Source organism: Homo sapiens, chromosome X (assembly GCF_000001405.40).
Source record: "Homo sapiens chromosome X, GRCh38.p14 Primary Assembly".
Classification (NCBI taxonomy): Eukaryota; Metazoa; Chordata; class Mammalia; order Primates; family Hominidae; genus Homo; species Homo sapiens.
Genome location: NC_000023.11, coordinates 7,919,714 through 7,933,915, shown reverse-complemented (window position 1 = coordinate 7,933,915; position 14,202 = coordinate 7,919,714). Strand labels below are relative to the sequence as shown.

The 14,202-nt window shown below is 42.1% G+C and overlaps 1 protein-coding gene and 1 long non-coding RNA gene across 7 annotated transcripts in view, besides 8 other annotated features; one reads left to right on the top strand and one right to left on the bottom strand.

The window, feature by feature from the left end:
* Window positions 1–6,416, bottom strand: part of LOC107985675 (uncharacterized) — a 528,885-nt gene extending 522,469 nt beyond the window's left edge. For all 4 annotated transcript variants that reach the window (XR_001755783.2, XR_001755782.2, XR_001755784.2 and 1 more), the window contains exon 1: window positions 4,503–6,416. This is a non-coding gene — a long non-coding RNA (uncharacterized LOC107985675). The remainder of the gene's footprint in view (window positions 1–4,502) is intronic.
* Window positions 5,896–5,975: an enhancer, noted in NCBI's record as "active region_29396". NCBI's record gives its function as "activates an Ori minimal core promoter by ATAC-STARR-seq in GM12878 lymphoblastoid cells {active_cell/tissue: GM12878}" and the evidence as "EXISTENCE:reporter gene assay evidence [ECO:0000049][PMID:35858748]".
* Window positions 6,192–14,202, top strand: part of PNPLA4 (patatin like domain 4, phospholipase and triacylglycerol lipase) — a 29,478-nt gene continuing 21,467 nt past the window's right edge. Inside the window, exons 1-4 of one of the 3 annotated variants that reach the window (NM_001142389.2) lie at window positions 6,192–6,230; window positions 7,784–7,976; window positions 11,818–11,912; window positions 12,068–12,203. In NM_001142389.2, the coding sequence (NP_001135861.1) occupies window positions 7,797–7,976; window positions 11,818–11,912; window positions 12,068–12,203 (411 nt within the window). In that variant the 5' untranslated portion in view covers window positions 6,192–6,230; window positions 7,784–7,796. Of the gene's footprint in view, window positions 6,231–6,502; window positions 6,631–7,783; window positions 7,977–11,817; window positions 11,913–12,067; window positions 12,204–14,202 lie in introns of those variants that run through there. The other 2 variants (NM_004650.3, NM_001172672.2) reach the window with 2 other exon arrangements.
* Window positions 6,316–6,365: an enhancer, noted in NCBI's record as "active region_29395". NCBI's record gives its function as "activates an Ori minimal core promoter by ATAC-STARR-seq in GM12878 lymphoblastoid cells {active_cell/tissue: GM12878}" and the evidence as "EXISTENCE:reporter gene assay evidence [ECO:0000049][PMID:35858748]".
* Window positions 6,386–6,625: an enhancer, noted in NCBI's record as "active region_29394". NCBI's record gives its function as "activates an Ori minimal core promoter by ATAC-STARR-seq in GM12878 lymphoblastoid cells {active_cell/tissue: GM12878}" and the evidence as "EXISTENCE:reporter gene assay evidence [ECO:0000049][PMID:35858748]".
* Window positions 6,856–7,085: an enhancer, noted in NCBI's record as "active region_29393". NCBI's record gives its function as "activates an Ori minimal core promoter by ATAC-STARR-seq in GM12878 lymphoblastoid cells {active_cell/tissue: GM12878}" and the evidence as "EXISTENCE:reporter gene assay evidence [ECO:0000049][PMID:35858748]".
* Window positions 7,748–7,797: an enhancer, noted in NCBI's record as "active region_29392". NCBI's record gives its function as "activates an Ori minimal core promoter by ATAC-STARR-seq in GM12878 lymphoblastoid cells {active_cell/tissue: GM12878}" and the evidence as "EXISTENCE:reporter gene assay evidence [ECO:0000049][PMID:35858748]".
* Window positions 7,748–8,068: a biological region, named in NCBI's record as "Sharpr-MPRA regulatory region 9499".
* Window positions 7,774–8,068: a silencer, noted in NCBI's record as "tiled region #9499; K562 Repressive non-DNase unmatched - State 12:CtcfO". NCBI's record gives its function as "represses a minimal TATA promoter and a strong SV40 promoter by Sharpr-MPRA in K562 cells {active_cell/tissue: K562}" and the evidence as "EXISTENCE:reporter gene assay evidence [ECO:0000049][PMID:27701403]".
* Window positions 11,218–12,417: an enhancer, noted in NCBI's record as "BRD4-independent group 4 enhancer chrX:7889540-7890739 (GRCh37/hg19 assembly coordinates)". NCBI's record gives its function as "activates an origin of replication core promoter dependent on BRD2, P300/CBP, MED14 and CDK7 cofactors, and independent of BRD4, by STARR-seq in HCT116 cells {active_cell/tissue: HCT116}" and the evidence as "EXISTENCE:reporter gene assay evidence [ECO:0000049][PMID:35650434]".

Genomic DNA, 14,202 nt, shown 5'->3' with positions numbered 1-14,202 from the left:
AGTTAAGACCTTAGCCAATAACATAATCCCCTTTTATAACATTGCTCCTAATGGAAATTATGTTTGTTTTACAATCACCTACTTTATGACATAGCTTCCAGGAAAAGGAGACATAAAAAAGAGTTACTGCTGCAAATGATCAATAGAGAAGGGTAGTTTTAATTAATTGCTAGGCTTGCTTTATTTTTCTTTTCAAGACGCGAACAAGTTCTTTAAATGCTATAAACTCATATATAACATCTATTAAGACTTTTACCATTTTTAAATTATAAACATCCAGATATGAAACCAATCACAAATTCTAACCTGAGAAAGAATTACAGGAAGAAAGATTCTGAGACTCAGAGTAGCCAAATAACACAAAGCTTGGCACATCATAAAAGCTTAGTATTTTACTAATTTGTGCACAGGCTTTAGAGCAGGGCAACCTGGCCTTATAATCTCAGCACAGATATGGAAAGGCTACCTTAAACTTTCATCTATTATATATTTCTCTTTTTATTTGAGTCATCTATTATATATTATTATATATTTCTGTTTTTTTTTTTTTTTTTTGAGACAGAGTTTCACTCTTGTTGCCCAGGCTAGAGTGCAATGGCGCCATCTCAGCTCACCGCAAGCTCCACCTCCCGGGTTCAAGTGATTCTCCTGCCTCAGCCTCCTGAGTAGCTGGGATTATAGACACGCGCTACCACGCCCAACTAATTTTGTATTTTTAGTAGAGACGGGGTTTCTCCATGTTGGTCAGGCTGGTCTCGAACTCCCAACCTCAGGTGATCTACCTGCCTCGGCCTCCCAAAGTGCTGGGATTATAGCTGTAAGCCACCACGCCCGGCCCATATATTTCTATCTTTTAACATTGTACAAGTGATATGAGACAATGTATATAAAGGACTGGCATGGAGTGGGCAGACAATAAGTGTAGTAAATATTAATAATAAGATTCTAATAATAGGAGTGGGTGCTCAGGAAAGCAAGGCATTTTACTAACAAAGAATAGACCAAAATCTTTATTTTGTCTCTTTGAAATGAGGTGATTAGATAATTAAATGTTTTAGTAGTTACGGTGTTCATTTTGATAACAGCACTGGTAATGTCTAGATCTTGTACTCCAAATTAAAATACAGTATTTTGGTGAATTTGATGGAGCATAAGGCACTGAAGCTGTCCACCTGTCACCCAACAATATTACTTACTTGATATTGATATTATTTCCTCAGTAATCGGCTCCATGATAAGAAAAATATTTGAAGGCTAGAAAGGACTATTTATGTCTGAACAATTGGTGGACCCCTAGCAGCCATGTCCACTGTACAGTTGCTTTGCGATGAAGTACACAGAGCAGAGAATACCAGTTTTCTTTGACTGGGATTTTAAAAAATATTTAGGATTATGTGTACATTTGGTACCACATACTCACCACCTGGCTATCAAGGATCTGAACCCGTTTTCTATAAAATATATCGTTTAAGTATAAGAACTCTGAAAGCTTGCCTACTTTACTATCTCTGTTTTTCAGCTCAATGCATAATATTACATTTGGAACCCTTCACATATTAAATTAAAATGAAGTTTATAAAATAAATGTCACATTTTTAAAATGTTTCTCTTTAATAGAAATAGTCTGATATTTAGTTTCAACACCATGTTAAAAGATCTAAAGATTATCATATATTATCAGATATACTGAGTCATAAATAAATTATATTTCCAAAGGATGGCTATTTTGAATTATGTTTTCAGATTGCTATGGTCTGAATGTTTGTGTCCCATCCCAAAAATGTATTTGTTGAATCCTATCCCCCACAGTGATGGTGTTAGGATGTGCGGTCTTTGGGAGGGGAGGAGGTCCTGAAGGTGGAGCCTCATGAATGGGTTTAGTGCCCTTATCAAAGTGGCCCCAGAGAGCTCCCTTGCCCCTTCCACCATGTGAGGACAGGGCAAAAAGGTGCCATCTATGAATCAGGAAATAGGACCTCAACACACACCATCTGCTAGTGACTTATCTTGGAATGTTCATCTTCTAGATCTGTGAGAAACACATTTCTATTGTTCATAAGCCACCCGGTTTTGGGTATTTTGTTATAGCAGTCTGAACAGACTAAAACACAGATGCTATCAAAGAAAAGTCTTATTTTGTTTTATATAAATATGTAAACATATATATAACAGAAATATGTAATAATGTAATATATATAATATGGTATATATATAAAATTCATATTTTTTGAAAGTATATTACATTTAGAAAGAATTTACCCAGTGTTCCTTTAAGTAGTCAGTTTTTGTAGCATATTTCTAATGGAAAACAGCCATGCGCAATGTAAAAAGCACTTACATTAGTAAGAACGGTTTGGTTTGCAAGCTTTAGAAACTCAATGCTAACTAACTTAACAAATAGAAAAGGGTAGGTGTAGTGGGGAAAGCGAGTCAGGAATATAAAATATATTGTTTATGCATGAAACCTTTGAAAGCTTACCGGCTCTACCTTATCTAGAACACCAGTTACAAGCACTGTAATTAAGGAATTCTAATACGATAACAGAAATACTCAGGAAATCCTTACCATCTCTATTTTTCAGTTCAATGTATAATATTACATTTGCATCCACAGGCTCAAGAGGGGCAACCACACCTAGGTGCCTGTCTGTGTCTGTCTGTCTGTCTGTCTGTCTCTCTCTCTCTACCTCATTCTCAGCTCTGGATCCCTCTAAGCTGCCTCTGTTTTCAGGCTGGCTCCCTCCACATAGTGGCATTCACACATGACCTTCTTCATCTATTCCCTCACTGTGTTCCTAGAGATGGTGATCTATAGGAAGGAAGTAGCCCCTCTTTCTATGGTTTCGGATGGGCAGTTCTACTCCAAGATTGCAAAAGTTCCTTTCTCTGAACTCCATGGTGGTCTCAAGACAAGATATTGCTTAAACTAGGCACAGAGGGCATGTTATCATGAGTATCACTTTGAAGCCCCCATGGAAAGGGCAGTGCTCCAGCAGTGTTGCCACACTCCCCTGAAATTAAAGTGCATGTATCTAAGCTCCACAGCTCATCGGGATCAGTTTGCAAGATTTGGGGAGGAAGTGACAAAGAAGAGCAGTTATCAAGCAGGAGGCAGAATAAGCAAAGCATATTGAATACACGACAAGAGATTTGTTTTTTTAAAAAACCAAAGCACTTGTAACGTTGACCGACAAGAGGTGTTAAGATGCCTGCCGGGCACAGTGGCTCACGCCTGTAATTCCAACACTTTGGGAGGCCGAGGCGGGCAGATCACCTGAGGTCAGAAGTTCGAGACCAGCCTGACCAACATGGAGAAACCCCGTCTCTATTAAAAATACAAAATTAGCAGGGCGTGGTGGCACATGCCTGTAATCCCAGCTACTCGGGAGGCTGAGGCAGGAGAATCGCTTAAACCCGGGAGGCGGAGGTTGCGGTGAGCTGAGATGGCGCCATTGCACTCTAGCCTGGGCAACAAGAGCAAAACTCTGTCTCAAAAAAAAAAAAAAAATGCCAAGACTGGAAAATGAAATAACACCACAAGGAGAGTAGACTGAAAGAACTGATTAGACTCAAAGATTCTGAGATATGGTCCTTTCCCTGGAGCAGAGGTGTGGACAAGCAACACTTACCCATGTCCATTTCTCCTCCCTTATGGGATACAGGATAAAATCTCCTGAGAGGAAGCACTGGAGAGGAAAAGGAGCCATCAAGCTGGGGCATTTTGTTTCTGTGCTGGGTGCTACTGTAGGCACCTCCCGAAGCTAAAGGTTTCCTACTCCGTAGCTGGTGTGCACAACCAGGGCATCTGTGCATGGCTTTGCAATACCACATCATCACGCCTCTGTAATTACACATCAGATGTCTCCCTATCCACTGGACTCTGCATCCCTGATAAGGGCTGAATTCTTTCAACTGTGTATGCCCTGTACCAACGTAACACTTGCTATACAACAGATGATTAATAATTACGTAAATGGCTAAATAAACAAACCCGTTTGAAACTAAATTACTAAGGAAAATAGACGAGCAAAAATAAGCAAATTAATTACAGAAAAAAAAGTTTCAAAGAGCAATTAAATTACTATATATTCAGATCACAATGGTAATTTACATAAATCCAACATCCAAAACAAATATTTATTGATCATATACTATGGGCCAAGTGCTAAGCTTGGCGATGAGATGACAAAGACAAATGTGAATGAATATATCCTTCCTTACATTAGAAAGCTGAACTTTTTTTGTTTTTTGTTTTTTCTTTAGAGATGAGGTCTCACTACATTGCTCTGGCTGAAGATGAACTCCTAGGTTCAAGCAATCCTCCCACCTCAGCTTCCTGAGTGGCTGAGACTACAGGCACATGCCACCTCACCCAGCTGAGAGCTGAACTTTTAACTAGTTACATGGAGATATGATACGGGATTGAAGGGAGTAAGGAGGAAATAAATTTAAAATTTTAAGAGTTAAATTATGGAGCATTTTGCTGCTCCAAAGAGACTTACCTTTGGTGAGCTCTCACTCTGCCAGCCAGGTGTAGAAATAGTGGATGCCCTTATCTTTCCTTTAAGTGAAAGATATCAAAGTTGTGGTGTTCATCCAGGCTGCCCGGTGATAAAGTTTTCACCTGTCTCCTGAATCGACCTGCTGACAGTGTCCAAATGCAGGAAATAACTTGCTCTGTAAACAGCATCCCAGATTCTGGTTCTGTAAATCCAGTCTCTCCTTAAACTTCTGATGCCACCACATCACTTTAAACCAGACCACCTGTCTTAATCCATTCAGGCTGCTATAATAAAGTAGCATTGACTGAGTGTTTATAAAAGAAATTTATTTCTCACAGTTCTGGAAGATGGAAGTCTGAGATCAAGGTGCCAAGATGGTCAGGTTCTGAGGAGGGCCCTTTTCCAGTTTGCAGATTGCCATCTTCTCCGTGTACTTTTATCCTTACATGGTGGAAAGAGACCTCTCTGGGGTCCCTTTTCTAAGAGTACTAATCCCATTCATGAGGGCTTCACCCTCATGACTTAATTACCTCCCAAAGGCCCCACCTCCTAATACTATCACCTTGGGGGTTAGTATTTCAATATGTGAATTTTGGAGGTATACATGCAAACAATAACACCACCAAAGGAGTTAGACCACTGCTTCAGGATTCTGTTAAAACGCAGATGCCGACTCAGATCAGAGATGGGACCTGGGATCCTTCCTTTCTCATGAGCTTCCTGGAAGATGCAGTTCTGGGGAGGATCACACTCGACCTTAAAGAGCTAGAAGATTGTGGAAGGTTTAAGGACTGGAGTGTGTCCTGTATTTTCCTAATGTACGTTGTGCCTTCCCTTCACTAAATTCCGGTAGAGGTAAAGAATTCTGAGTAATGCAGTCATTCTACGATAAGGCAATAAGGTGTTTCAGGATCAATTTTCTCTAAAGAATAGTTATGTGAATTAAAAACATCTTCCCTAATCGTCACATCAAGGACTCACAGGTGTTGTTGGCCAGAGACGATACACCAAAACAGAAAGAAAAAGCCCAAACCAGAGGCAATTTGGAGAGCTCCACCCCTCCTCCCTGTTTTGTCTAAGGTAGAGACATTCTCGCAGACGCTCCTTTGTAGCCTCAGAGAAAGTAAATCTCTGCCCTTAAACTAGGGGACCTGGAGAGCCTTCAATCACGAAGTCAGGGATTCCTCCAGGCTTGGTTATTAGGATTAGATAAGGAAAACACCGTTTGGGGAGAGAAAGAATTATCAGAGTCCTTTAAATCTTGGTGGGCATGGCAGGCATCTTGGCGGTCGTTGAAGCTGCTTAAGTCTGAGCCAAAGGTGCCAGAGGACAAAACAGCCACCTGCTCACGGCCCCCTATGTGGAAAAAGCTTTCCAATTTAGCTCTCTCATTTTAGCATCTCAATCTGCACATAAGGCACGCGGGAAACTCAGAGAGGTTATGCTACCTGCTCAAGGTCACACAGCCTAAGGTCAACTGAGGATATGAAAGTTCCCCAGAGTCATAGTCCAGCTTTTCCTTTAGATAGCACTTCTTAAAAAAACCAAAGGCACGCCTTGAAAAGCTGCGGGATGTCCAGCCCCAAAATAGCCGCTGGAGTTGGCCCCTAGGGGCAGCTGGACCGCCCAGGCGGGCGAAAGGGTGGAGAGGGAGAAGAACCACTTCCGGGAAACAGACGCGAAGAGGGTAAGGCACTTCCGGGGCACAGAAAATGAGGATTATTAAAGGTCAGTTGCTCGCAGGTAAGGGCCAAGTAGCGTTAAAAGACACGTAAGGATTACAACGCCTCTCTAGGGTGTGGGTTAAAATGTCTCTCTAGGTACTCGAAGATAACATGACTCTAAACGAGGAATCCTTGCCTGCGCTGGAGGACGCTCCGGTCTAGCGGCCAGGTTGAGTCCAGAAGTTTAAATAGAGCAGGCGGGGCCTAGCGGGCGCCTTCGTCGGCGCGATGACGTCACATACCTGCGCGGGAGGCGGTACCAACCCCTGCCGCAGGACTTTCCTGGGCCGGCTCGCGGAGAGCGTAGCGCGGCCTTGGTGGCGGAATGGCGTTGAGTGACGGCCCGGCCCCGCCATCTGGTTAAAGGGACTCGTTCAACACGGAAGTGTCCCGGGGCTGCATTGGTACGGAGCCCTGGGGCCCAGCAAGGGTGTGCTCCTGCGGGACTGATGCGGGGACCACCCCGGCCCTGCCGGCCTCCAAGCCGCGGGAGGGCACTGAGCCTGTGCTGGCTGGGCCTGGCCGCCTGGTTGCTACACACCCAACCCCCTTCCCGTCCCCATTTGCAGAAGTGGAATCAAAACTGGGGCTTGACCCCGGATCGATGACTGGGACTCAGCCTACGCGGACGCCAGCGCAGCCTGCGGCGGCCGAGCCACCTGCCCTCACAGGGCCTGGCCGGGTGCATCAGGAACAGGCGGTCTTAGGTCCCTAAATTCGAGGCCCTGTAATGTGCCTCATCTTGGGGTCCCTGAATGGGGCCCTTGGGCCCCCAAGGAAACCCTGAGACCTTCAGAATGGACAGCCTTGTGGAGGCACAATTTCATTCACTTGGGCAAATTGTGCGCACTGAGGCATAGGAAAACATGTAATTTTGTATTTAGATGTGTTCCAAGTATAAAGTGGCGTGGCTGACATTTCATAGAGCCTTAAATTGCCTTCACCAGGCATGACCTCAGTTTGTGTTGAGATACTTGGCAAAGAAATGTATTGCATTGTTGAGTGATTGCTTATTGCGTTACTGAGTAATTGTATTGGCGTTCATAAAAGCATGGGTGCTCACAATAGAAATTGGGAAGGGGAGTAGGGAACTGTATTTGAAATCTTCTGATACACTTACCAAGAACAAATGTATTGTTCATTTGGAATTTGATACGGTCTCTAATAATTTTCTGTTTCATAATGGTAGTGCCGCCCCCACCCGCAAAACGTTTCAAAGGGTCAAGAGAAAAGACCAAATGCCCTTGTCAACTGGAATTTATACGTCTGTTTCCTGCCAAGTAATTAAATCGTAGATTCATAATCTATGTACCGAATAAATGTGGAATGTTTTTGTTTTGTTTTGTTTTAATGTATAAGACTTGGGTCAAGGTGAGGAGGGAAAGAAAGGGTTTCCTTGAAAGATTCTTGTGTTTAATTAGAATTAATTGAAACCACTGTGCTTAAAACAGAGAATGATGTTAGAAGAAAGCCTTGGAACGATGATCAACATAAGACTACACAGTATGTGGGATAAACTATTCCAACTTACAGCATTTTTGTTTTTTGTATTGCCAGTGCTACAGCTAGAATGAAGCACATCAACCTATCATTTGCAGCGTGTGGATTTCTGGGCATTTACCACTTGGGGGCAGCATCTGCACTTTGCAGACATGGCAAAAAACTTGTGAAGGATGTCAAAGCCTTCGCTGGGGCGTCTGCGGGATCGTTGGTTGCTTCTGTTCTGCTAACAGCACCAGAAAAAATAGAGGTAATTAAGTAGTAACTTAGGCTGTGTTCCTCATCAAGAAATTAAGACCCAAAGGCAAACACCAGCATTGACTCTACTAAGTTAACACTGCAGAGAAATAATCGTTTGCTTGGAAACAGAAAGGATTAGGACTTTTCTCTTAAGATGTAATTATTAGGGATCTGTGCTCTGGTTGTGGAAAAGATTATTTTGGGTGATAGTGAAATAAGGAAATAAAATGACTTATATTACTCTTGAGTTTTTATTTATCCTTAAGATTCCAGCTCTGTTCCTTTCAAGCAAAGGATATTTCTTCTTTCTATGATCATGAGAAGAGCATGGGGCCTGTTTTCAAGGCCTTGAACATGTGGGCAACAAGTCTTACCTCACTGCTACTTAGAAATAGATACATAAATTAAAATGTGGGCATGCAGTTTCTATTAAGTGGAATGGTATAGGAATTTAATTCTTTTTTAATTCTCACAGTAAGAGGAAGCTCTGAGTTCCAAGCAATTTATCCAGAAGTAATACAAATAATTATTCATTAAGTACTTTATTTAATGCAATCTATGTTTTAAAATCTGTTTTCTGCTATCCAGACAGTGATCAATCATTTGCTGACTGTGAGAGCTGGATTCCGTAGTTGGAGAATATTATATTTGTTAATCATTACGTACTCTAGCAGCTTTGAACAATAATGAAATAACAATTTAACACCCTCATACCCAAGAATGAATTTCAGTCACATTTAAAATTCCAAAACTATGCAATGTTAAACATCAGAATCTCATTTCAGATCTTTTGTGAGCTGCTTATCAAAGGGAAGCTAGATTTGAGGCCAATCATTCAGAAATCCACCTATCTTCCTGTCTTTATATGGTTGATTTACAGGGAACTAGAAAAGTGATTTAAAAACTGCAGAGATTAAACAGGACCAGAACCTTAAGCCATGCAAGGTATAAATGAGGTCGGAAAATTCCCCCTAAACTAGCAGATTCATAAGCTTTGAATTACAAGCTACCTCCTTCCCATAACTGTGTTTCGTTTTTGAAGCAGAGGGCTTTCAGGGTGTCACTTCTTCCTTTTTACTGCAGTCTTTTCTTGAGCTGTGGCAAATCCTAAGCTTTGGAGTTATGTAGACTTGGTTTCCAATTATCAGCAAATTAAAAAATGTATTGTATGATTTAGAATTAACCTGATTTGGAAATACTGCACTAGTACAGCCATTTATACTTAACTAAAATTCTGCCATGTTAAGACATTGAATAATTTACCTGAATTGGAGACTTGATGTCATCATATTCTCAGATCAGTTTACCTGTTGTTATTTATTTTTTGCACTAAATGAGAGACTGGGTTGTGTTGTCTGATGGTGCTGGTATGATGAAAAGGTGTGTGTCTTTATCTGGTGCTCCCATGGGAAGGTAGAAAATAATTTTCTTAGTTTCCTTAGGGCATCCTCATTTGTTCTTCTTCAAAATAATTTTTCAGCCAAAGTAACCCTTTGACTTAAGGTTATTTTAGTTCCTTTATTTTTAGCATCTGAAATAATCCACTTGTAGGATAGCCTTGAGTTTTTTTTAGCAAATGTTTCTACCTACTCAGATTCGTGTTCGCTCGGTTCTCGCTGATGATATAAGTTCCTCAAGCTTTTTACTGTTGTGACAAATACGTGTGTAATTAATCTTCTGAGCTTATGCATGAATAATTAAGAGGAGCACCTGATACTGGGCATATTTTAAGTGGTAGGCAAATTTAGACATTGATGTGGAAGAGCTCAATGCTGCAAGACTTTCCTCAGCCCTCACAATTTGCGAGGAAGCCATGGTGCTAGACTCAGTGGGGAACTCAAAGATGAATAAGTCCATCTTTAATAAGTTTACAGTCTGGTCCGGGCTATGGAGAGTATTGAATATAACTAATATTAGTACAAAGAAATAGGCTAGATGGGCAGTCTAGCTCAGTAGAATGAACATACATTTGGTGGGGCTACCCCCATTTCTCACCCAGGAGCTTCCCACAGCCTATATCAATTCAAGCTCCCTACAATCCACCTACCTCATAGCGCTTAGAGTGATGTCACCCAAAGGCACATCTGATCACCTCATTACCCCCGGGGCAGGGGCTGTCTGTGGACTTAGGACAATGTGACCCAGGTTTCTCAGCATGTATCACAAGGCCCCATGTGACTTAGCCCTACTTGTGGCTCGCCATAGGGACACATTTCAGCTCTGTGCCCCTCTCAGAATTGTTCTTGCTGTTGTTTTTACTATCCTCTGCTTTCACCTTCGTCCTCTGCCCAACTCCTGTTTATATTTAAGTCCCAGCCTGGGTGTCAAATTGGAGGGAAACCTTTGGCAACCCATGAGGTTGGAGGTTGACACACACTGTATTCATTTCCCGTTGCTGATTTGACAAAGGACCTTCAGCGTAGTGGCTTAAAACAGCATGTGTTTATCATCTTCCAGCTCTGGCGGTCTTAAGTCTAAAAGGGTCTCACTGAGCTAAAATCAAAATGTCCATGCTCACTCTCTCCAGAGGCTCCAGGGGAGAATCCATTTCCTTACCTTTTCCAGTTTCTGGAGGGTGCCCAGACTCCTTGGCTCCTGACCCCTTCCTTGATTTCTAAAGCCATAAGCACAGCATCTTCAAATCTCTCCAACTCTGCCTCTCCTACCTCCCTCCTTCCCTTACAAGAAACCTTGTGATGATATTGGGCCTACCCAGGTCATCCAGGATTATCTCCTCATCTCAAGGTCCTTAACTGGATCTACAAAGTCCCTTTTAACATAGAAGGTCTCCTAGTCACAGGTTCCAGGGACTAGAATGTGGACATCTTTGTGGGGAGAGGAGAGACTGCTGCAATAATATAGCCACTTAACTGAAATTCTGCAATGTTAAGACATTGAATGATTTACCTGAATTTGAGACTTGATGTCCTCATATTCTCAAAACAGTTTACCTGTTGTTATTTATTTTTTGCACTAAATGAGAGCCAAACACACCCTTGTGGGGGCTCTTATAGCCCTCTATGACCTGCTCTTGGAGGCACTTATGACTCTCATGAGCACAGGGTCTTTGTATCTTGTCCTCTCCAAGTCCCAGTGCCTAGCCAAGTACCTGGTGCCCAGTTGGTTGCCAAATTAATTCATTATTTAATACAAAATAGACTTAGATGTAAATTCTGGCTCTGAGACTCATTTTTAATGAGATATTGGGATAGACACTTGAACTCTCCAATCCTCCGTTTTCTTGTCTGTCAAGTGGGATGGTTATACCCACCCTGCAGGGTGATGTGAAGATGAACTGACAGTGTCACCTCTGTGGATCCCAGTCCAGGGTAGACATGAGCATCCCTGAAAGACTTTATAAAATACCAGTGCCCAAGATGAATCTCCGAAGACTCTGATTCAGTCTGTGCAAACCATAGACGTCACTACTCCTATTTCTGTCACTGGTGCTGTCATTTGTAATCAGCTTTGTTGCACGGTTGTAATCAAACTGCTGCTGAGACCACAAAATAGGGGTGGGAGAGAAGGTTAATTGCGCTGAGGAAACCTTTTGAAGAATGTGCTCAATTAAAATTCAGATTGAGCCTTCAAGGATTTTTCAGATGGGGCAAAGGCCATTTAAGGTGCTTTACAAAGGAAAAAACAAAAAAAGATTAGGATTCTTGAGAGTGTATACCTTGCAAAGGGCCTGAGAGTGGTGGGTGAGGCCCCGGCCAGGTGGGGAATTTGCACACCTTTAATAACATGACACCCTACATTTGCTGTTGGGTCTATAGAATCCCAAGTTTTAGAAGTGGAATGATTGTTTTCTTTACAACACCTAGGGTCACTTCTTAATTTTCTTTTTTTAGGAATGTAACCAATTTACCTACAAGTTTGCCGAAGAAATCAGAAGGCAGTCTTTCGGGGCAGTAACGCCCGGTTATGACTTCATGGCCCGACTAAGGTATACAGAGTACATTTTGCCCAAAAGTACATGAAGACAGAATGTTGACGACTCTCTGTACAAACTTTGGCAAGCTCAGCATTCTCTCTTGTAAAATATTTACAGGGAGTTCAATAATTAAAGGTGAGTAATTCAGATTGCTTTTTCTTCTTTAGAAGTGGGATGGAGTCGATTCTTCCTCCCAGCGCTCACGAGCTGGCCCAGAACCGACTGCACGTATCCATCACCAACGCCAAAACCAGAGAAAATCACTTAGTCTCCACTTTTTCCTCCAGGGAGGACCTCATTAAGGTAACAAAGCCATGTTTCCTATTTGAAGAAATCAGCAAGTGCTGATTTCAATACTTCATATAAAGTAATGAGCATTACCACGTTCTTTAGATCCTGTGTCTCTTACCAGGCCCGATAGATGGTTGAGTGCTCAGTAAATTACTTGTTTGATGAAAGTATTCGCCAGGATCCCTCCTGAGGCCGCCTTATGATGCACTGTGATCCAAATGCTCCCTGTACTTGTTCAGTGTTTTCCTGCAATGTTCAGATCTCACGTTGATTATGTGAAGCAAGTCGCTGATGCAGTTTAGTAGCAATAATAATTCCTGAAATTTATGTGGCTAATACTTTGGAGTGTATGTAGGGTTTTTAACATGTACTCTCTTATTCAGTCCTTCAAGTCCTTCTGTAAATCAAGTAGGGTAGGTGTTATTGTGACCCTTTTATGTTTTTGTTTTTGTTTTGAGATGGAGTCTCGCTCGTTTGCCTAGGCTGGAGTGCAGTGGTGCAATCTTGGCTCATTGCAACCTCTGCCTCCTAGATTCAAGCAATTCTCCTGCCTCAGCCTCCTGAGTAGCTAGGATTACAGGCACGTACCACCATGTCCACCTAATTTTTGTATTTTTAGTAGAGACAGGGTTTCACTGTGTTGGCCAGGCCAGTCTTGAACTACTGACCTCAAATGATCTGCCCACCTCAGCCCCCCAAAGTGCTGGAATTACAGGCATGAACCACCACACCTGATCCCTTTTATGTTTTTAACAGAGAAGTGAATGGAAAGATTTTATGTGATGTACGTACCTATGTACCCAAGATTATCCTGCGTGGCAGTGGGAGCTAATTCTGGTACCCAGGTCTCCTAACTTTTCAATCTAATGTTCCATTTTGTTTCTTCCATTTTGTTCTGATGTCTTTCTATCCAAACACATTTGAAAGTTGGTTGGTTGAGAATTCATCATCTCTGGGAAATACTTCAGCTGGTTGATTTCCAAATACCAATGTGCCTGCTGTGGTAATGCACTGAATATTTGTAGGGTGGAAAGGGTGTACTTCTCTTGGAATTTTTTCTTGTTTTTCCCTCTAGTGCAAATCATAACAAGCTTCAGGTAATATGGAGAATGTATGTTTTCGAAAGCAGAAGGTAATGGGTTGAGAGTAAGTGGTAAGATTCCATATATTCGGATGCTGTCATTTGAAATACTTAATGAAATGTTGAATTGACAAGTAAAATTACTTTGCCACTTAATAGATTAGAATATTTTCCCTCGATATCCCTATTACGTCATTCTCTCACTTACAAGAGTCTATCTTATAAAAAGACATTATTCTATAATCTTATTACAATATTATGTAGACTTGACAGTGTCAAGGGAAGAGCTGGGCAACCCATGCTAAGTGGTCCTAAGCCATCAATGTCCAATACAGACAGATAAGGCTTGCGGTGGGCAGACATGCATCCTCTTGTTTACCTAGGAACAGACTGTGTGCTCTTGTGACATAAAATGAGGGGGATTCTGCCCCAGATCTCTCTCACGGGGTCCATCCCTGGTTTTTCTGTCTACAATGACAGAACTCTCAGCCCCTGATCTCCCCACATCCCTCCTGATTTACATATCACTCTTTAGCATGCTACCTCTTTTACTGCTGTCCTGTTCAGCTTTCATTGTCCATCCTCCTTCACCAGAATGTAAGCTCCAAGAGGCAGGGGTTTCTCTGGTTTGCTCACTGCCGCAGCCCAGTACCTGCCACACTGCCAGCCATTGTGTAGGCACTCCGTAATATGCGTGAAACGAATGGATATGAACCAAGGTTGCATCTGTTACACTGGCTCGATTTAAAATAAAAGAAAAGAAAGAAGCTGGGCCCTCCATACTGTATGACCTGGGCAAAATCACATAGCTGGCTGGGGCCCAGCTGTGACTGTGGTTCATGTGTCTAGCATTCTTCCCTAACTATATATACCCCACACTGGATAAAATGCTCATCCTCCCTATCCATCCCTTTTATGTGGCAGAGAGAA